This window comes from Homo sapiens, chromosome 5, assembly GCF_000001405.40.
Source record: "Homo sapiens chromosome 5, GRCh38.p14 Primary Assembly".
NCBI classification, from domain to species: Eukaryota; Metazoa; Chordata; class Mammalia; order Primates; family Hominidae; genus Homo; species Homo sapiens.
The window spans coordinates 170284287-170306874 of record NC_000005.10 but is presented as its reverse complement, the minus strand read 5'-3'; the positions used below and the strand labels follow the sequence as shown (position 1 = coordinate 170306874).

Below are 22588 nucleotides of genomic sequence, written 5' to 3'. Positions count from 1 at the left end.
GAGCTGCTCCCTGTTTGCCCCAGGCCCCACCTGCCTTACTGCACCCTCATACAATGCCCAGAGTAGGTTGCATTAGGCGGTCAGTTATCCCATCAGACGTGCTTCATTCATTTGCATTTCCCCCTGGCCTTATCAGCCTTTGAGCTTGCAGCACCTCCTTGTAACTATTAGGAAAAGCCAACTCTACACTTTTGCTATCTGTTTACATCAGAAATATCACAGAGTACTGCATGCCACTGGTGCACACCCACATGTGATACAGGAGAGGGGAGCTCAAGGTTATCTCCAACCCAGGGACGCACAGCAGTGGAGAACCAACTGTTACTCAGGGCTGGTCCCTGGGGAGGGATGAATGAGTCAGACGTGTTCATAGTAGTGAAAACTGCCAGCAACGACACCATCTATAGTGTGCCAGGGGCTGTGATCCATGCTTCTAATTCTCTTTCACTGAATCCTCACAACCACTCAATGAGATCCATGCTATTGTTTAGCTTTTCCCATACCCCCATGGCAACTGTGGGACAGAGAAGTAAGTTGCACAAGGTCTCACAGCAGGAGTGTAACAGAGTTGGGATTCAAACATGTTATTCTGACTCCAGAGTCTGCGTCTTGATTCCTGTAGGTTCTGTCTCTAGAAAGAAAAAAATATCTGCAGTTTGAAACTTTTGAGGGGTTGGACTTGGGAAGAAAAGCTAGACCAGGGAGGATCATTCTGCCAAATCTCCAGAATGGACTTGAGTCCCTCGGAGAATCCAGGTTCACACAGGAAGCCCCCAGAACAGGAACAAAGGCCCTCCTTAAGGGGACACTGCAGTTTTGTGAAATTCTGGCCTTCAGTTGTTTAGGACAGACTACCTAAATCACAAGCCTGGCCGTCAGGGAGCACAAGAGATGGCCTGAAACGCTATAGTAGATAGCAAAGAACAATGGCAGGGCTGAGGGGGATGAAACAGGGCAAGTCTGTTTGTAAGAATCTGGCACTTCTGCTGGCTAGTCACACATTTAATTTAGAGCTATGAGCCTATGCAGTCACCTTGGTTTAAAGATAAAGTGGACCCTCCAGTTCCAGTAAGGGCAGGATAAGGCAATGCTCTGAAGAGGCCTCATGAAACAGCTGGGAATGAAAAGTTGCTGGGCTCAGGGAACATAAGCTATTGGCATGTGCTCAAACTATCCCCACCTGAGTTACATTTGGAGTTTCTGCCTGTGACGAAAAGTATTCCAATTTTTTGCTAAATGCAAATAGAGTCACCATTTGTCACAAGCAAGGAGTAGGAAATTCTGCTTTGGTGGATCAGATGAAACTCTGCAGGAGGAAAACAGACCAAGGCATCAGTATAATGGGGTGAGAACTCTGTGACTGGGGATCCCATATGTTTCCATTGCCAGGGGCAACCCCAAAGTCTGCCGGCCATCCCAACATATCACAAGCAGCATCCCTTCCACTTCCAAAAATATCCTAGTTTGGCAGATCACATGTACCGTCACCCTCTGATGATATTCCGTGAAAGCTTTTCAGAATAAATTCTTGATATCCAATTATTTTTATTTTATTTATTTTATTTTTTTGAGACGAAGTCTTGCTCTGTTGCCCAGGCTGGAGTGCAGTGGCGCAATCCCAGCTCACCACAACCTCTGCCTCCCAGGTTCAAGCGATTCTCCTGCCTCAGGCCGCCGAGTAACTGGGACTATCGGCACACGCCACCACACCCGGCTAATTTTTGTATGCCCCGTCTCTACTAAAAATACAAAAAAAGATTATTTGTTTCTTTTGCTTGAGGCTTCAAAGAGAAGTGAACTGAAAATTAACCTGCCACTGAGACGAGCATAGACTAAAAGGAAGATCTAGAAATTGTCTGGGGGATGGAAATGAACTTGTAGCATCTCCATGTCAGATATGTCAGACACAGGACAGACATGTAACACAAGCAACTTCGTGTGTCAGCAAAAGCACGTGAAGTGGGATGTTAAGTTTTATCAGTCCCTTTTAAAGATGAGGAAACTTTAAAAGGGGCTCAAGGTTGGACACCCAGCTGATGGCATTGCTTGAGTAGAATCCAAGCCCGGGACCTCCCCATCTCCCAGTCCATGACTCTTCCTTACTCCAGCCTACCTCCTCTTCCCCCTTGAGACTGTTTGGACAAATTAAAGGAGAATGGTCTATGTATGTGGAAGAGCTGGGGTTTTGGTTGCAAGCAACAGAATCTAACTCTGTGCAACCTGAGCAACAAAGTTACTTATTGGAAGGATATGGAGGCGTTCGCCTACTCAAAAGGACAGTTTTGTTGTTTGTTTGTTTTTTTGAGACGGAGTCTCGCTTTGTCGCCCAGGCCTGAGTGCAGTGGTGCGATCTCGCCTCACTGCAAGCTCTGCCTCCCGGGGTCAGGCCATTCTCCTGCCTCAGCCTCCCAAAGGACAGTTTTAAGAGCAGGCTTGGAACATGCAGGAGCCAGGCAACTCCAGGGTCTCCATAGCAGGAGCAATTCAGGCTTCCTTGAGGCCTCAAGCTGGAATGAATGAAAGCTTGTGGTCATTTTCCTCCCTTATTTTACTCTTTTCCTCCACCACCCCCACCTCCCATCTGCAACTCAGCCTGACCCAGCCAACCTCTGCATCCCTCAACAGGTGTTTCTCTACTTGCAGGGTACAACTGAGGGACTCAGTGAGCCTGCGAAACTCACGTAGCATTAGATTGCTAGGCTTAATTATTTTTAATTAGAGAAAAATGTATGCAAACCAAGGATCATCATTTTACAAGAACTCAAAAACAAAATATCCTGTCTTTCCTAATAAATATGGTTGAAAAGACCTGCTCTAGGTGAGTATTGATAATTCATTTCGTAACATTTCTATTCTTGGAAAGTGCCATCTTTTGGTGGAAAGTCTTAGTGTCAGACAGATCTGGTTTCAAATCCCACATTTTACCTCTGATAAACTGTGAGGCCTTGGAAAAGCATTTGGTCTCCCCAAGCCTTTGTTTTCAATCTATAAAGTGAGTATGTATGACTCTATCCCCCTTTCACAAAGAGCAGTTACGAGGGCTATGTGACATCATACACAAGAGGACCTAGCCTTTCTTTTCGCCAAGCTCTTGAAGACTCGTGGAAGGGTTGGTAGACAAATTACATGCAATCAGGATGCGCCCACTTCTCAAACGTACCTCGAACCTCTCATCTATGCTGTTCTCGTTTACTGCAAGCCACTTCATCTTAGGGATGTGCTTGCACTTTCTGGGTCCACAGCTCTTCCTTGTGGAGAAGCAGCTGAAGTTGGTCGCAGGTGCCTTTGCTGACTGGAGATAAATTTCATTTGCTTTATTTTCTGGCACCCCTTCCCACCACCCAGAAATCTTGCCTTCTCCAGCTTGCCAAGGAAGAAGACAAGGATTTTTCTATTAAGTTGAGAAGACGGTTACCCCCTCTCTGGCCCCCAGCCCCCACTCCACCCCGCTTGCTGGCATTTGGGGAGTTTCCCTTCACAGCAGAGCTATCTGGGTTCAGGCTGCCAAAGTCAAAAATAGGGCAGCCAGGGAGGGAAGGTTTGACAGGAAGTCCAAATAAGTACTTCCTCCTACCCACCTTTGAACTTCTGAGGCAACTTAGCTAAAACAGCAGAGCAAGGCACACAGAGAAAGGGGATGAAAGAGTTTTTTTTAAAAGAATGAAATTGTCAACTGGGAGGAAGTGGAAAATATTGCTTCTCGTTGCCTTGCACAGGCTGGCCGGCTCCCAGGACGGGGGAGGTCAGAGCTGTGTCCAGGCCTGGGGGCAGGGAGTTCAGTGACTGTCGAGGTAGAGCGGAGTGTGGCCTGCAGGAGGGCTCCTATGGGGTTGCTGCTCCAGCCCCCTCCCCACCGCCTCCCACCCACGGCCGGCAGGAGTGCTGTGAGCACTGGCGCTCTGCATGGAGGATGCGTTGCACGGGAGGCAGGTCTCCCCCTGCCTGCACACTCTTTCTGAGGCCGGCTTGCCGAGTTCTGTGCCTTCTAGTGTGGCTGCTGGAGTGGGTGGGCCCCTCTGTCCAGCAGAGCAGTCAGGACCCCTTCCTGGTTCCGCTCGCTCCACTGGACTCTCTCATGTGGTGGAGCCCTTTGCCATCCACAAGGATCCCAGGCATGGAGGGTGCTCCCACTGCCTGCCTTAAGGATGGAGGGGAAAATTGCCCCCTCTCTCTGTGAGGATGACAGCTGCAGCCTTTGCTCCCATGCAGGCCCTCTAGGAAGTTCCAACAGCAAGGGACTTCAGCCTCTGGTGATAAATCTGAGATGTTAAAAAGTTGGTGGGAGTGAGGCTGGGTGGACACGGGCAAGGGCATCCTCAGATTGCCTGTGGTGTCTGTGTCACGTCAGCATCCTCTCTGGGCCACGTGCCACCACCTTATTCTCTCTCCCATGGTCAGGACCCTCTGTCCAAGTCAAATTCAAATAAGCACTTCCTCCCACCCACCTTCTAACTTCTTGTGTTCCTCTCCTAAGAAGGTCAACACATTCTCGTCTGTAAAGTCCCTGCTTTCCATTCTCCCCGTCCCTAAGCATCAACTCCCCAGACCCTTCCCCCAGCCCCACACACAGAAGTTGCAACTCCCAAGTCTCTTCTAAGGAATTGTGCATTTCTCTCGCCTCTAGAATTAGCGGTGAAGGAAGGCAGTTATCTGCCCACATGATTCTGCTGTGGGTCAGATGGAAAGGGAGGGAGCTGGGAGTCTGGACGTGATGGGTGGGGTGGGGAGGAGATTCAGGCGATGCCCTGGGCTGCAGTTTGCTGCTCCCACATCCACTCTCACAATCTGACACAGCCTCCCTGCAGGTACTGCTTTCTTGTCCACAGGCTCCACTGGTTGTGCAGTAAAGGTTCCTATCCCTTGGCCGGACGTGGTTGCTCACACCTGTAATCCTAGCACTTTGGGAGGTCGAGGCAGGCGGATTGCCTGAGCTCAGGAGTTTGAGACCAGCCTGGGCAACAAGGTGAAACTCCATCTCTACTAAAAATACAAAAAATTAGCTGGGCGTGGCGGCATGTGCCTGTAGTCCCAGCTACTCGGGAGGCTGAGGCAGGAGAATTGCTTGGACCTGGGAGGGGGAGGTTGCACTGAGTAGAGAGGGCACCACTGCACTCCAGCCTGGGTGACAGAGTGAGACTCCATCTCCAAAAACAAAAACAAAGAAAAATCATTCCTATTCCATGAGCCCTGTTTCTGTGTAGGAGCAGAATGTTGTCTTTTTTTTTCTTTTTTTTGAGAGGGAGTCTTGCTGTGTCACCCAGGCTGGAGTGCAGTGGTGCCATCTCGGCTCGCTGCAACCTCCGCCTCCCAGGTTCAAGCAATTCTGTCTCAGCCTTCCCAGTAGCTGGGACTATAGGCACTCATGCCACCACGCCTGGCTAATTTTTGTATTTCTCGTAAAGGCAAGGTTTCACCATATGGGTCAGACCAGTCTCGAACTCCTGACCTCAGATTATCCACTCACCTTGGCCTCCCAAAGTGTTGGGATTGACCCACAACGTGACTCACAGGCATGACCCACTGTGCCCAGCCCCTAGAATGTTGTTTTTATTCTGCTCAGAGGTTGTTTACCTTTTCCCAAATCTTGAGCTATGCATCACAAAGCCTAAGAAGGCCTCTGTAACCTCGTTCCTCGTTCGTACCTGCGGAGTTCTCCACCTGGTTGGGGGAGGGAGACAGACATGGGCGAGGGTATCCCCACCACTGCTTCAAATCACTATGCCCTACTGGATCCCCACCCTCTGCTCTGCTTCATGCTTGAAGCCAACAGACAGATGCTGTACACCCAGCTGCTGCCCCTGGCCTCCATGGTCATGGCAGCCACGCTGTCGGGGGCTGTACCCAGAGGCTGCTTTCATGGCCGCCCCATTTTGGAGGTGAGGGGCCTGCGGCTGAGCCTGCACAGGGTCACAGTGGTCCTTCTGGTCTCCTGAGTCTCTCTTGGGGGCTAACTAGCCCGGTCTCTGGAGCTTCAGGAACCCGCCAGCCAGAGACAGGAGATGTGAAACTCGTGAGTGTTGGGAAATCAGCAAGGCCTGGGGAAGAGGAAAGCCTCCAGGCCTGAAGCAACATGCTTCCCCTTGCACCAGCTGCCCTTTCTGAGGAATGGGCCTGTGGTTCTGTGGGGAGGGGGCACCAAGTGCCCGCCTCATGCAGAGTGCTGCATCCTTTACTGAGCTTGTTCAGATTGACAACCTCTCTTTCTCCTCACCAGAGGCCACAGAGAAGAAACTGCGCAGGCTCTGGAGACAGACTGGGTTTGAATCCCAAGTCTACCTTAGGCAGTTTCTGTAACATCTCAGAGCCTCAAGGTGGCAAATGGCCAAGGACAGGGGCTCTGGACTCAGATCAACTTTGGAAGAGTCCTGGATTCACTCCCTACTTGCTGGGTTCAGGGGGCAAGTAGTTCACCTCTTGGAGCCTCAATTTTCTCTTCTGTAGAGTAGGAGCAACAATAGTGCCAACAATTAAGACAGTCAGTAAGAAGTTCTTAGCTTGTGCTCTCTGGACCATAGGAAGAGCTCAAGGCATCGTGTCTCTTTATGTTTCTCAAAGTCACCATTATTGTCATCCAGGTTTCTTAGCTGCTTTGTCTGTCTTCTAAATGAGCTCCATGGATCCTCCATCTTGGCCACATTAATTGGATAATTCTTTCTAAAGGAGCCTAATATTTAGTGATACCTTCATTACAACTGCTTTTTTGTAGATTTTTCTTATCCTGAGTGGGGTGAACATCATTAAGAAAATTAGGCCAGTCTTGGTGGCTTACACCTATAATCCCAGCGCTTTGTAATGCCAAGATGGGAGGGTCGCTTGAGACCAAGAGTTCAAGAACAGCCTGGAAAACAAAGCAAGACTCCATCTCCACAAAAGAGTAAAAATAAAAAAATTAGCCGAGCATGGTGGTGCATGCCTGTACTCCCAGCCACTTGGGAGGCTGAGGTGAGAGGATCACTTGATCCCAGGAGTTCGAGGCTATAGTAAGCTATAATTGTGCCACTGCGTTCCAGGCTGGGCAATAGAGGGAGGCCCCATCTCTAAACATAAAACAAAAGCAAATAAAAAGGAGAAATTAAAATAAAATAAAGTAAAATTGCTTCTACTTTTAAGGATGATCTGGAATGTTCCTTTTCATAGGTGGCATGTGTTTTGAGAGATAGCGAGAGAGAGATTGATTGATCCACGTCAGGAATGCCCTCCCTTTTACTCCATCCTCCACGGCCCTGCTTAAATCCCAGTTAATTCCATGACATCTTCTGTGCTTACTCTACTTCAAAGTGATTTCTCTCTCTCTTTCTCTTCAAATGGCTTTTTATTGTTCACTGCTATGCTAGTGATTTGAAAGACCAGGTGACCTCTCACCCGTGATGGAGCTTTTGTACAGCAGAGCTGTGCTTTATACAGAATGATCAGCTACAAAGAGCTCTTAGGTGCGGCCCAGGCACAATGGCTCACGCCTGTAATCCCAACACTTTGGAAGGCCTAGGCGGGCAGATCACCTGAGGTTGGGAGTTCCAGGCCAGCCTGGCCAACAGGGATAAACCCCGTCTTTACTAAAAATACAAAATTAGCTGGGCGTGGTGGTGCATGCCTGTAATCCCAGCTACTCGGGAGGCTGAGGAAAGAGAATCGCTTGAACCTGGGAGGCAGCGGAGGTTGCAGTGAGCCGAGATGGCACCATTGCACTCCAGCCCGGGCAACAAGAGCGAAACTCCGTCTCAATAAAAAAAAAAAAAAAAAAAGAAAGAAAGAAAGAAAGAGAGAAAAGAAAAGAGTTCTTAGGTGTGAGGCCCTGCAAGGAGCAAATGGCCTGGGCTACCTTCACTGATGCCCTCAGCACCTTCTAAGGTGAGGCTAACACCAGCTCACATTGATGAGCTAGTGCTGGGCCTGGAGCAAAATGTGTATTTCATTTAAGCTGCCCACCAGCTTGTGAGGCAGGTGCATTACCGTGACGGCGGGGCTCCTCAGAGTGTGTATAAGAAGAAAACTGTGCATGGCCAAAGCTATGCTTGAAAACCCTCAGGAAGGCACCACCTCAAGGACCAACATAGCATCACTTAGTAAAGGCAACAGCCTTGGAACAGATGACTCGTGTGTGTGTGTGTGTGTGTGTGTGTGTGTGTGTGGCATTAGATGAAGTAGTAACTTGTGTTTAGAGGTTGCCTTATTGCACAAATATAGTTGCTTTTATACACTGGACTCACCCTCTGCCAATAAGTTGTTCAGTTATGAGAAATGAACAATGTCTGAAACTAAGAAAACAGCAAATTCTCACCTCCTATCTCCAGGGAATGTGCTCTTTGGCTAGAATATATGGCAGAATCAATAGTGAATAAAATATATTGTGGAAACAATAGTGAATGGAATATATGACACTACCAATAGCAATTGTTAAGTTTTTTTTCTTTTTAATTTTTCTTTTTAGGTTTGTCTAGTTGAATGCATCTAAGTTTTATGTGCATATGAAGAATCACTGTTTTCCTATTATACAGATTTGGAAACTGAGATTCCCAGCTTTTAACTCCTTGCCTAAGGTTGCATAGCACAGAAATAGTCATATCAGAAACTGAGCCCTGTCTGCACAGTGTAGCACCTTGTTCAGCCCTGGGTGCCTGACTCACTCACTCCTTGAGGACCCTCTCATGACAACTGTAAAGAGGCAGCTGAAAGAATCCCAGTCTTTGATGGTGGGAGGGGAAAGTGGTTGGAAAGCATTAAAAAAACATGCTCCAGCAGTTCACTGATGTGGGAAATTGTCTGTATTTCAGGTCAACCGTCAGGATAGATTTTGGTCTGCAAAGCCCCAGCTGAGCAAGAATGCAGTGTAGACATATGGGTGCCCAGAGTTTAAAGGAAAATTACTCAGACTCACATTGGAGTTTAAGACCCCTTCATTGCCTCTCCTACTGGGTTGGGGTGACTGGAGCCAGTGGGGAATTACCAACCCTGTGGCTCTCTCTGCATCTCAAGCCTCCAGAGCTGGGCTTCCTTGTTTACTTATTTAGAGCCCAGCAGAGGAAGTGGTAAAGGAAACTAGCTGAGTCGTTTTCTGAGAAGAGACCATATTTGTTCGCAGAGGAAGCCGTTGCTTTCTGGGATCTGGCTACGCCAGAAAAGACATCGGCTCCAACAGGGGTGTTCCACAGGGTAGCTGGGAGTTGGAAGAGCCAAGAACGCCTCCGAGCTCTGGATTTGAGCTTCTCTGCCCATGGGTGAAGCGCCCATGCTCAGCTTGTGAGCTTCTTCCCGGGAGAGCAGCCATGGCACTGAGGAATGTGCCCTTTCGCTCAGAGGTCCTGGGCTGGGACCCCGACAGCCTTGCTGACTATTTCAAGAAGGTAAGCCTTGCTCTTGTGTGAATGGTCATGATGCTAGTGCCCTTGGTGGGCTGAGCTGAGGCTTGACGATGGAATTGGGGCAGAATGTGGGAGGTGTATAAGATAGCAATGGAACCCTATGGCAACTTTACTGGTTGAGTGAGCGCCATATAGACCGCTGAGTTTTCCTGACCATGAGTTCCGGAGAGAAGGATGGGAGCAGAAGCCCTCAAATGAGTATGTGCCTATTATGTGCTAGGGTTTGAATTCGGTGTCTCACAGGCACTGTCCCATTTAGCGCTCCCTACTATGTTGTGAGGTCAGCATTGTTATCCCCTTGACTCAGCTGCAAAATCAGCTCAGGGAAGTGAAATGGTCCGAAGCCCTAGGGACTACATGTGATAGAGGCAAGACTCAAGCCACACCTATCTGGTTTTAAAGTCCATGCTCTGAGATGCAGAGAACTGTTGTAACTGCTAATGAGATCAACGCTACTTACTAGAAAGGGGAGACGTGGTGTCCTGGAGGCAGGAGAAAGAATAGGCAGGGTGGGAGGGCTGGATAGAGGACTATGATGAGCAGTGCCAGACACAGCATTTGGGCTTTCACTGCTCACGACCCTAAGGGGGGTCCTCAAGCTCCCGCCTGGGGCAGTCTCCTTGGAGCCTTATGAGAGTCTTGTGAAGCAGGACAGAAAACTGATGTGAGCCCCAATTTATAGCTATGAAAACTGAGGCCCCTAGAGGAAAAGAGGCTTGTGGCGGTGCTGGGACCAGAGCGTTGCTGTCTTATCTTCTGGACTTAGAGGAAAGGTTGAAGGATCCCTGTGCTTGGTCATTGGCAGAAGGGGACAACGCATCTGCTTGGGCAGATCTCAAGCCACATGACTTAGTTATAGTCCCTCTACCCTGACCATGTGGTAAGATGACTTGTGCGAGACGGTTAAGCTTCTAACACCCTCATCCCTGCAGGCTGGCATCGGATTCTGTTGATATTCCAGACTGTCATAAAGATGAGATTGTAAAGCTAAGATGGTAGAAGTCATCTAATTCAGCTTCGTGTTTTTCCTGGGGAAATTGAGATTCAAGAGGGTAGACGAGGTTCCCTAGGACGTATAGCCAAACCTGGGGTCTATGCATTTCCGAGGCATTTATAGTCACAGCTGTTCTCCCCCAACCTGAAGAAGAAAATGAGAACATGTTGAACTAGGTGTGGTATGGTAGGGGTACAGTTCACAGATCCTGTTTTTTGCCATATTTTGTGCTTTCATTTCTGTTATTTTCCTTCTGCAAGGTCATAATAAACTTAGATTTCAGCAAATATTGTTGCGCAACTGGTTTTTTGAAGGATGTTTCTAAATATCTTGCTCAAATATAGACCAAATAAGATAGGGCAACAAGGTAAAATTTGCCAAGAGGGAATAAAGTGGCATGTTACCTTGATAAGGGAAAAAGAAAGGAATTGAGAATTATGAAGAGAAAGACTTGGGACGGGCTGAGAGGCACAGATAGGCCTAACATTCAGGTGTGACCAGGAGAATTATACAATCCAATTGAGCAACAGAGAATTGATCCCTAAAACTCCCATCAGTACAGGGAGATGGACCACGGGTCAGGGATGGTACAGGAAGACCTCACTGCCTGAGCTGGGGGAAGGGAGAGTTTTCTTCCTGGAGATCTCAGACCCCAGGACAAATCTACAGCACCCAGGCAGGTTCCTTCTTCTGCCATAAATGGACTGAGGGAAGAAACTAGGAGACTGAGGCAAATCTGTGATCCTGGAAGTTCTAGTCCCTCCACAGACTTGGATAGAAACCCTTCAGATTCTGAGTACCTCAGCCCCCTGAAAGAAACTACCAAACGAATGGACCGCAGAGTCATTTGGGAATGGATCTTAGCTGTCAAACATGACATGTAAAGAATTGATCTGCAGATGCAAACTCTACCCAAGTAGTGGGGTCAGGCCTCCCTTGGAGACAGCTCTCGACTCAGCTCTGAGGTCGGACACACTTTACCCTGGCTCTGCCACCTGCTAGCTTGGCGACTTTCCTGTAGTTGCTTTGCCTCTCTGTGCCTCAACTTCCTCATCAGTGAAATAGAGATATGAACAGTAACTAACCCAATGGGTTGGTTGTGAGGATTAAAGCAAATGATGTGTGCAAGGCACTCAGCAGACAAATGGATCCTAATGCGTGTTCCTTCTGCCCTTTTACCTTCTCTATTAACTGGCTCCTAGCTGGGGACACCCATGCAGACTGGTGGGACTTTGCGTCTTCTTGTCTCTGACATGGGTACCTCGTCCTGTGTCTGGAATATAAGCTCCTGAGGACAGAGACCATGTTACATATTTGTTCAATCTCTCCAATTCCTTTTGACTTGCAGGAGAACATCCTTGGGTCGTGCAGTGGAGAGGCACTGGCTCAGAGCTGTGTGTCCTAATCCCAGGTGGGGTCCCAGCTGGTATCCCAGCTCACTGTGTGACCTTAGACCAGCCTCTTTCCCTCTAGAGGCCTCAGTCTTCCTTACTACAAATCCAGGTAACTTTTCTGGACCAGTGCCTACCAATGCTGGATGCCATAGGAATCGTCTAGGGTGCTCCTTAAAAATACAGATTTGAGGTCCACAAGCCTAGATCTTGCTGGAGCAGAATCAAATGCCTGGGTCCCAGTCTGCAGGACTCTCTGCTGATCTAGACACAAAGTTAGCACTCTTCAAAATCATCTGGTTTATCTCATAATGATAACAGTGAGAATGATGAATTAAAGGCAGTTGACTCTTCCAAGAACCACTTACCCCCCACTGCCTGTAGATAAAGGGGATACCAGGGCTCCATAGATGGGATGTGCTTTCAATATCAACTTCTAAGTCAGCTTTCTGAGTGTGATAATCATCCCACCCTTCCAAGCTAAGATTTCATAACAATTGTATTTATTCTTTGGATTTGCTAGCTATAAGATAAAAATATGGCTTAAAATGTGCTCCAAAAGAAGGCTGCCACAAACCATGAGGCCCACCCTTGTGAGAAGAACCTAGGATCCTCAAGGAGAAACATTTAACCTCAAATGCTCCACCCCAAAGCAGCAAGTTGAGAGATACTTCAAATGTGAACATTTATGCTGTTGAGGACAAGTTGAAACTAGCACCTCATATGATTGCTGATTGGTCTAGGAAAATAACCAAGATCTTAAAAATGCTCGTTCCTATGGATCCTATATAACTCGGTTCTGAGGTTCTGACTTAAACAATTTATCTCAAAGAGGGAGAAAAAAGTTCGCAAAATAGTATCCATGATTGTCTCTATTTTGATTGGGATGAGGTACTGCAAACAAATGAAGCTGCATTTTCATTTGCTCATTTTACTTACTGTATATAAGTTATGCTGTAATTAAAAGGGGAATATTTCTGAAAGAGACATTAAAGCCTGTTCTGAAACTTGTCACCTAAAACCCATGGAACCTCATGCAAGTTACTTGCTGTCTGTGCCTCTCATTCCCCATCTGCAAAATGTGAGGGTTAAATGATTGAAGACTAGTTTAACTACTTGGTACACTGCCTGCCACACAGAAAGCTTTCGATAATTGTTCGCCGTTTTTATTATCATTATTGAAACAGCAGCTTGGTAAATAATCTAAATGTTCAGCAATAAGGGCATGATTAAATAATGTTGTGGTCATTAAAATTATTTTAAATTGAGTTTGCATAACACTAGGCAGTGTTTATATTATCCCTTTAGGTAATTTAAGAGAAAAAAGTCAGAATAATGAGATTGAATATAAATCATAACCTCAATTATGTTTAGAAACATGCTAGGAAGAAAGCATGGAAAGAAACACCGAGGTCGTCTCTGGGCATCGAGACAATGGATGGTATTTCTTTTCTTCTTTTAGCTCTCCTTCCTGAGGAGCATAGGGCAGAGCTCTGCATGCCTTGAAGGCAGTCTTTCTGTAAGGGTTGGCCCCGAAGCCTTAGAGCAAGGCAATTTCTCCATTTCAGGCAGTCCCAAGGGGGTAGTGAAAGCGAGGCTGAGGTGGGGACTGGGCCCTCTGTTAGCCAAGGGAGGGCAGTGGGGAGCCTGGCTAGCCACAAGTACCGCAAAGTGCTAAGTTTCTGGGGCAGGCAAGGGAGAGGAACCAATGGTAAGAGACTGCCCGTCACTAACAACACCTTCCCCTTCTCTTTGCAGCTCAACTATAAGGACTGTGAGAAGGCAGTGAAGAAGTACCACATCGATGGGGCTCGCTTCTTGGTAAGCTCTGGCTAGTCCAACACACTGAAACCAAGACTGTTCGGCACTTTTCCCCATGGCTGCAGGGCCAACTGGCCTACCCTTTCCCTGGGGACACCCGAGGATCCCTTTGCTTTTTCCAGAAATTTGGTAGGGCCCCCTCTCTCACTACCTTTCAGGATCCTATCATCCAGAACCCCTCTCTGATCTTCCACTTACACCTTAAGGAGGAATCCAAGTATAGTAAACAAATAATCTGGAAAATCTATTTAAATGCCATCCATCCTTTGAGAAGCCCAAGGGGAAGAAGGACCATATGGGTGAACAGAAGCTTCTCACCTCCAATCTCTCACTCTGGAGCACATACTCATGAGTGGAATAAAGGATGGCATCACCCTCATTGTTTCAATTACTTCCTTCTTTCTCACTACCAAATTCATAAAGCTGATTTTGCATCAAGCACACATGTGATATGGCTGTCTCCACTGTATTATACTTCAAAAAGCTTGAAGTCTAAGACCAAGGTGCAGGTATGTATTAAAGACTAAGCCATTAAAGGGAAAAGGATGCAGCTCTAATGGTGGAGACAGAGGTGCTAGGTTGTGGTCGGGGAGGTGGTTTGAGCATTTTCCCTGAAATGACACCTTTGCCCATGGGTTAAGAAAGACCCTGACTGCACCAATCCATCCTTTCTGGGAACTTTGCTTTACTCTTTGAAAATAAGACTTCAAGGGTCTCATGGGGGTAGATGTTCCTAATTTAAATTCAGAGTGAATAGAGTAAGCTAAGTTGTGTCTCCCTGTAAGACACTGTCAGTAAGGGAACTTGACCATGAGACTTCAGGCCAGTTGGATGAGACCAGAGAGATCACAAGCTCCAGCTTGCCCCCAGAGAACACCAATCCATTTCTTATATTACATCTCTGCTACCAACATCTTCTTGAATTCCTTCAGTGATGGTGAGCTCACCACCACCCACAGTCATCTGCCCCTTTCTAGGCAGCTCTCAAGTCTTGTGCTGAAACTAACCTGTGCTCCTATTGGTCTGAGTTTTGCTTCCAGGTGCCATGTAAGACATGTTTATTCACTGTCCACCTAAATCATTCATTCATTCGCCTATTCGTTCACTTGACAAGCAGTTTCCCGAACTGCTTTTACATACTGGAGAGCATTATAGGTGGTGGGGATAGAGAAATGGCTAAGATGTGATTTCTGCCTTCTAGAAACTTGTTTTATAGCAGAAAGGTATGTTCAGAAAGGCTTCCAACTACCTCATTTGCAGATGAGGAAACACATGCAGAGCTGTGATGTGATTTGTTCTATGTCACATACCTACTAATTGAACTAAGGCATACACTTAATTTAGTCTGATACCATTTGACTTTTTAACAGTATTATTTATTTGTATTGAGATTTGAGTCAGTAGAATTCCTGGAGCTTTAGTGCCATTCTTGCAAATTACTGCTAAACCCAAATATTTCATTCTGGTGCTATTAGCACTGAGAACAGAGACTTATCACAGTTGAATGGAAAGGGAGGAAGACATCTTTGAGGATGGTGCCTACGACGCCCTGTTGCCTGGGTCACCCTGAGCAAGTACTTGCCCTCTCTGAGCCTGCCTTGCTTCCTACCCTGTTGACTGAGCACATTGGACTGGGTCATAGTGGGTGATGGCCCCTCCCGGCTCTGTAATTCCCCACAACAGTCCTGGTGCGAGTGTCAGGCCTGGTAGAACAGGGTTGTTTGAGAGATGGTATCTAGGCAGCTATGTTTCCTCTGCTCCAATCAGTCCTCTATCAGTCCTTCAGACAATGTGGCACATTCTGTTCATTGTATGAAGAGGAGGAAGTGCAAAGTAGGGTGATAGGAACCAGAAGAAAAGAAGAAGAATCCAGTGCCTGTCCCTGCAACTGGGGGATGTAAAGGCAGCTTCTGCTGAAACCCACCCTCCACCCCTAGTGCACTGGGTACAATTTGGGACGCTTGATCTAAGCTCTAATTACTAATCTATCACCCTTTCCAGCTCTGTAATATCCAGGGCCACTCTGCTATTGAAGGCAAAAGTGAAAGGCCCTAGTTATTTTTCCTTCCTTCCTTCCTTCCTTTCTTCCTTCCTTCCTTCCTTCCTTCCTGCCTTCTTTCCTTCCTTTCTTCCTTCCTCCCTTCCCTTGTCCTCCCCTCTCCCCTTCCCTTGTCCTCCCCTCTCCCCTTCCCTCTTTTCCCTTCCCTTTCCTTCCCTGTCTTCTTTCTTCTCCCTCTCTTTCTTTTCTTCCTTCCTTCCCTCTCTCCATCTCTCTTTCTTTCTCTCTTTCTTTCTCTCTTTCTTTCTCTCTTTCTTTCTTTCTTTCTTTCTTTCTTTCTTTCTTTCTTTCTTTCTTTTCTTTCTTTCTTTCTTCTTTCTCTCTCTTCTTTCTTTACTTCTTTGCCATTTTTGTTTTCCACTGAAAAGGTTAGATCCTTATCTGGTAGAAGCTATGCTTCTAGAAGTTATAAAAAGAAGAGAAAAGGAGCTTGAGACTTGTGTCAGTTGGGAAGGCATGTGACCCCATGTTGCAGAAACCTGACCACAGTGGCCTAACCAAATAAAGGTCAGTCTGTTTCAAGTAATAAATGTATAGGCGGGTGCCAGGGGATGGTGAAAGAAGACATCAAGAACCCAGGCTTCATCTAACCGATGGAAAAAGCCTGTGGCTTCTGTCCTAACAGTTGTCAGTTGGCTACTCCACCTTTAGGCATCATATCTCCATGGCAGGCAGGGAGACGGGGAGAAAGGCAAAGAGGAGAAGGTGTATGGTGAATGGTAAATGCATGCTCCCTTTTTTCCAGGGAAGTAGTAACTTTTCCAGAAGCTCCATCCAGCAGACTTTGGTTATATCTTACTGTCCACAACAGAGTCATGTGACCTCCACCATCTGCAAGGGAGCCTGGAGAGTTAAATATTTTGAACAAGCACATTTACTGCCCTGAATGAAACCCAGGACCTGTCAGTAGGAAAACAAAGGGAGAGTGGGTATTGGGTAGGCAAGCAGCCATGTCTGCCACATTGCCTCTCCCACCAGGGCCCAGTTTGTGGCTTTCCTCTTTCTGTACCCCTCTTCTCAACACCCACAGCATATAATCATACTCCCACAAAGCCATAAATCTTAACTCCAAAATCATCATGCAAATAACCCAGAGTTTACTGGAGGCTTTTGGAAAAGGTGGAGGAGGGGGTTACATCACATAGCAAAACTCTCCAAAAATTCTGTTTCAACATCTCTCATCTTTCCTCACAGTTCTTGTCCCCGTTCTGAATGTCTTCCTCTTTCCTGACACCCTGCTCCTCTGTGTCTCCAGCCAGGCTCATGTCCACCTCCTCCTCCACAATCTTCCTGAAATTCCCTCAGCTTACGCCCTCGTCTCAGCAGAGCAGAAGCTGGTGGCCAGCTGCTCAGTGCTCAGCCGCCACCCCTCTGGCAGCCCTTAGGAAGGCTTCAACTCCTCACACCACACTCAAAACATGAGTCTTGGTACCTCCCTGAGTGGGAGTAGTTCAGAAGCAGGGAGATGCTGCTCAGTGATGAAAAAAAAAAAGAGAAAGAAAAGAAAAGAAAAGACAGGAAAGGAAAGGAAAGGAAAGAAAGAAAGAAGGAAAGAAAGAAAGAAAGAGAGAGAGAGAGAAAGAAAGAAAGAAAGAAAGAAAGAAAGAAAGAAAGAAAGAAAGAAAGAAAGAAAAAGAAAGAAAGAAAGAAAGAAAGAAAAGGAGTAGTTAAGAAGCTTAACCAAAAGCCCGATGCCCTCAGGACTTCTGGCTGACTCCCTTCACCAGCCCCACCCTGCCGCAGGTGGTCTGATCAGCGTCCAGATCAGAAACCATGCCTGTGAGCTGGATCAGATGGATCCAGTGAACACATTGCTAAGATGCCCTAGCCCCAGCCTCTGTGCCAGCTGATCTCAAAGAAGAGTGCCCAGATCTTTCCAGTGGTCAGAAAACCTGACAGGCAGCTCCCAGAACGGAAAAGAAGCAAAAACACTAAACTCTAAGACTCACCCAGACCCCTGCTGCTTCCCCACCAGGGGTAGTAATTCCTCATCTTACTCCTCCATTTCTCAGTCACACACTGTGCCAGGCACTGTGCCAAAACACATTACATACATCATCTCACTCAGTCCTCACAATCCTGATAGGTGGGTATCATTATTATTATTATGGTCCCCATTTTACAGATAAGGAAACTGAGGCTCAGAGAGGCAAAGTGCATGCCCTAAATGACACAGCTGCTAAGTGAATGAACCAAAATTCAAACCCAGCCCATCTGATTCCAGAGCTCCCACCCTAACTACCCAGCCCTCTGGCCTTAACTAGAATGGTGGTGGAGCCCTTTGTTGGCTCATCATTGGTTCTATGGAAAGCATGCCCAGTCTCTTTTCTGCTCCCAATTCTGACATGCTCTCCTCTCCTCCTCCCTTCCAGATGCCTCCTTTCACCTTTCCCCCCATAATCCTCTCCAACATAGGCCACAGGGGCCGTCAAAAGGATCAGACGTGGTAGGATGGAGGTTTGCAGGAAGAAAATAGACTGTGGATGTCACAGAGTGGAATTCCAGCCCCAGCTCATCCCCCACAAGTGGAAATCCCCTTGATATCCCTGAGCCTCGGCTTTCTCTCTTTCAAAATGGGAATGCTGGTAACTCCTGCATCACAGAGTTGATGTGAGGATTCACTAAAGCATTAAGAGGTGGAGGCCCAGAGTTAGTTCTTGACAAATATGAGTTTCTTTCTCCCCTCCCTTCTCAGTTCCCTCAAGAAAGCCTTTTCATGGCATCCCCATATCTTGAGAATTCTACCAACAACCCTGGTGAAAGAGGTTCTCTGGGATGTGATGTTGGTAAAAGAGGCACAGACTCCTCCAGGCTGGCTTCTCTGCAGCTGACCTTGTGGAGACTGAGAGGGCCTGAGGTCTGGGGTGTAGGGAAGAGGTCCTAACATGGCCAAATGCAGCCCACACAACGAGTCGTTTGGTTTCACAGATTTAGCTCTCACAGTGTTTAAGTCAAAATTATTTGCCAACATTTGGAACTCAGAGCATTTCACATAAAACCCAGACTTAAGGATTCCCTTTGTAAAAGCAGATCCAGCAACAGCAGGCCCACAGGCTTTTAGGCAAAACATCTAGAGGCTGCCTACTTGGGGAGGGTGGGTGGGCAGGGCGGTTTCTCCTCTGTTTGCCACAGTCCCCACCACTCCCTATATTGTTTCACGTATCACTCTTCCCCTCCTGCTCAGAGCCCTTTCTGTGGGTTGTAACCTGCCTGCCATATGTGTCTTCATTTCAGAACCTGACAGAAAATGACATCCAGAAGTTCCCCAAGCTCCGGGTGCCGTAAGTACTCCTCCAACTCTATGGGTGATCTGGGAGCAGAGGTGGGAATGGGGAGTAGTGTGAGTGGGGGCTGGGTCAGTTCTATGTCATTGTCGGCTTGAAATAAGAAAGCAAGTAGGAAGGATGAGGGCAAGGGCAGGATGTGGGGAACAGAAGTTACATGAAGAGCTGGAAAACAGAAGTCACAGATCCAGCCCAGCTGGTGACCTGGATGCTCTTGCCAAAAACAAGCCCAACTCTGGCCAATGTTTTCATTTCCTCTCTTCTCATGGGGTGCTTGGGCCTGTGAAAATAGCATCAGTGTCAAGGTTTCATCATGGCATCACCACTGACTCAGTGATGGCTTAAGTTTTCTTGACCTCCATTTCTCACACAGTAAAATGAGAGCCAAAGCAGATGACAGCAATGGATATAATTATGTGTTGATACTGAGTGCTTGGAAATATCTGACAGGGGTGTTATGTTGAGAAGAATCCCGAGGAAAGGGAGCTGTGATTGATCATTCATGTCTGCCATAGGTGCTGAAAGGGGAAGTTGCAGTATGCATGTCATGCCATGTATTTTTCATCCCTCTAGTAAAGGTCTCACACACTCAAATACCTACAGGAGCCAGGCAGGTGCTATAAATGGTAAAATTGGTCAGGTTGAAAACACAAAGCCCCGTTGTTTTGTTTTGTTTTGTTTTATCATCATTGGACAAAACAGTGGTAAATATTCTGTATGAAGAAATAGTTCTCCATTATAAGAAAAATAATAGCACGGTTATCATATGATGAAAAAAGTAGCCATCGCAAAGCCTCATTGTTGGTGAAGCAATAGAGAATGGTGGGGATTGTGGCAAATCAGATATCATATGTTCCATTCAAAGAGTGCAGCAGCTCCTCAGCTCCAGCTAATGTGGACCCAACAATGTCCTATCTTCAAATTTATCAAGAATAACTAGAAATATGGGTTTCATGTGCTATATCTCCATTTTTAAACATTGGCTCAAATGTTTCAAGTATTGTGAATGCCACAGTAAACACACCTAAGGGCTACATATAGTCTGTGTGTTACCAGTTTGAGTTCTCTTCTCTGGACATTCTATAAGGACCCTTCTCTTACTCTAAGGGTCTCAGAGCTCATCATAATAAAAGGGAAGTAGGCCAAAGGAGTAGGAGGTGGGGAGATCTCATGAATAGGTAGGAATGCTGGCAGCTCAATTAAGGAGAATATTTTTAGCATGACTATAGGGTTTCCCTTGTCCGGAAGGGGGAGGGAAAAGAGAGGAATAAGGATTTGCCTTTGGTGCTGTCTATCTCCAGGGACACGTATTGTTGAAGATGGCTTGATCTTTCTAAGGATATCCTCTAACCACATGTGGCTACTTCAATTTGAATTAAATTTAAAATTCATTCCCCTGAGGCACTAGCCACATTTTAATAGCTACGTATAGCTGGTGACTACTATGCTGGAGAGTGCAGATATAGAACATTTCTATGATTGCAGAAATGTGATGTTGTAGAGATAAACCATAGTTCTTTGCAAAAGAGGGAACTTTCCACACAGGTGTCAGAATTGGTGGCTGGTGGGCTAGTCCCAGACTGCAGGTATGTTAAATTTGGTGACCACTGTGCTTTGAAATCAGGAAAACTTTCACAAAATCCAGCCTCTTTAGAAACAAGTGAAAGATGTGGCAATTGAGGGCTTATATTCTACTGTGGCAATAGTCAGCCGGATCTGATGTCTGCTGCCCTGTTTAGTTGGGATTTGTGCTCCCCAGTTCACCAGGGTCCCACCATTCCCTGAGGGATCGTCCTAAGGTACGTCAACCATTTATATTATATCATGGGAACTTTGGCTTTCGAACAAGATTAAGTAATAGGGATCAGATTTACTTTCCCAACTGAAATAACCAAATAACCAGGCAAAATATATGAAAGAGCAATTTTCAAGACATTGAGCATCAGACACCGAGGGATGGAAAACAAAGGCGGTGAAGCCTATGGTTGCTTGCTGCTTTGAGAATCTCCAGGCCTTGGCACAGGGAGCAGGGAGCACAGTGCTGGGTCTGGTGGACGACTTGAGTTGAGGAGGCAGCGGAGAGTCCAGGAGCCTAGAGTTCATTCAACGGGTGTCAGAGAGGAGAGAGCTGCATAGAGAGAGCATTCTGGAGAGCTTCAGAGGGGCCCCTCTTTAGCAAAGCACAGATCAGTCCATGCATGAAAGGAGAGACTACCTGTAGGTGGCAAAAGAACTACCCAACAGTATTGGAGGAAAGAGTAGCCACTCACAGGGCTGGAAATGGTGCTTATTTCTACCAGCCTGGCTGGAAAACATAGTCATTCGGTAGAGTGCCTAGAAGGATCTTGCCTTAGTGGTGGGGAATAATTAGCCCTAATCTAAAAATTGTTCAGGTCCTGGCTAGAAAACCTTAAAAGCAAGACCCAAAAGAAACAAACTGCTTCTAAGTAACTTAACTGCATCTCAGAACAAAACTTAAACCTATTTATAGGAATGCAAAAATATTCACTACCCAACAAAATAAAATTTATGATATTAGGCATCTAATCAGAGACTAACAGGCACACAAATGAGCAGGAAAATATAACCCACAACAAAGAGAAAAACTAAAACATCAAAACTGACCCATAACTGACACAGAGATTAGAATTAGCAGACAAGGAGAATGTTGAGTGTATTTCATGTGTTCTAGAAGTTAAATTTGGGCATAAGAAATTCAAAAAAAGACCCAAACAGAACTTCTAGAAATGTAAACTATAAAATCTGAGATTAGAAATACACTGCTTGGGATTAACAGCAGATTAGATATTGCAAAAGAAAATAGTAGTAGACATGAAGATACAGTAATAGAAATTGTCCAAATTGAAACTCACAGAGAAAAAAAACTAAAACAAAACACTGAAAAGAGCATCAAGGGGCCGGGCACAGTGGCTCACGCCTGTAATCCCAGCACTTTGGGAGGCTGAGGTGGGTGGATCACCTGAGTTCAGGATTTTGAGACCAGCCTGGCCAACATGACAAAACCCCATCTCTACTAAAAATACAAAAATTCACCAGGCTTGGTGGCAGGCGACTGTAGTTCCAGCTACTGAAGAGGCTGAGGCAGGAGAATCACTTGAACCTGGGAGGTGGAGGCTGCAGTGAGCTGAGATGGCACCACTGTACTCCAGCCTGGGTGACAGAGCAAGACTCCATCTCAAAAAAAAAAAAAAAGCATCAAGGAACTTTGGGACAATTTCAAAGAACCAAATATATATCTAAAGTCCCTAAAGGAGAGGAAAGAATGTGTATGTGAGCGGGGAAGGAGAGACAGAAATAAAACACTTGAAGACATAATGGCTAAAAATTTTTCAAACTGGATGAAAATTATAAACCCACAGATCCAAGAGGCTCAACAAACCCCAAATCTAAGAAACAGGAAGAAAACTAGCTCTGAGGCACATCACAATCAAATTGCTCAAAACCAATGATAAAAAGAAAATCTTAAAAGCAGTCAGAAAAAAAAAAAAAGACATATTACATACAGAGGAACAAATGCAAGGATCACAACAGCTTTCTCGAAAGTAAAATAGCAAAAGAAAAATATTGTCAACCTAGAGTTCAATACTAGGCAAAAATATCTTTCAAAAATGAAGACGAAATAAAGACTTTTTCAGACACACAAAATCTGAACTGTACTG

At 46.3% G+C, this 22588-nt stretch overlaps 1 protein-coding gene across 2 annotated transcripts in view, besides 2 other annotated features; it reads left to right on the top strand.

The window, feature by feature from the left end:
* Positions 2630–3829: an enhancer, noted in NCBI's record as "BRD4-independent group 4 enhancer chr5:169730050-169731249 (GRCh37/hg19 assembly coordinates)". NCBI's record gives its function as "activates an origin of replication core promoter dependent on BRD2, P300/CBP, MED14 and CDK7 cofactors, and independent of BRD4, by STARR-seq in HCT116 cells {active_cell/tissue: HCT116}" and the evidence as "EXISTENCE:reporter gene assay evidence [ECO:0000049][PMID:35650434]".
* LCP2 (lymphocyte cytosolic protein 2) overlaps positions 9098–22588 on the top strand; it is a 51545-nt gene continuing 38054 nt past the window's right edge. For both annotated transcript variants that reach the window (XM_047417171.1, NM_005565.5), the window contains exons 1-3: positions 9098–9341; positions 13503–13565; positions 18859–18905. In XM_047417171.1, the coding sequence (XP_047273127.1) occupies positions 9264–9341; positions 13503–13565; positions 18859–18905 (188 nt within the window). In that variant the 5' untranslated portion in view covers positions 9098–9263. The remainder of the gene's footprint in view (positions 9342–13502; positions 13566–18858; positions 18906–22588) is intronic.
* Positions 9916–9995: an enhancer, noted in NCBI's record as "active region_23605". NCBI's record gives its function as "activates an Ori minimal core promoter by ATAC-STARR-seq in GM12878 lymphoblastoid cells {active_cell/tissue: GM12878}" and the evidence as "EXISTENCE:reporter gene assay evidence [ECO:0000049][PMID:35858748]".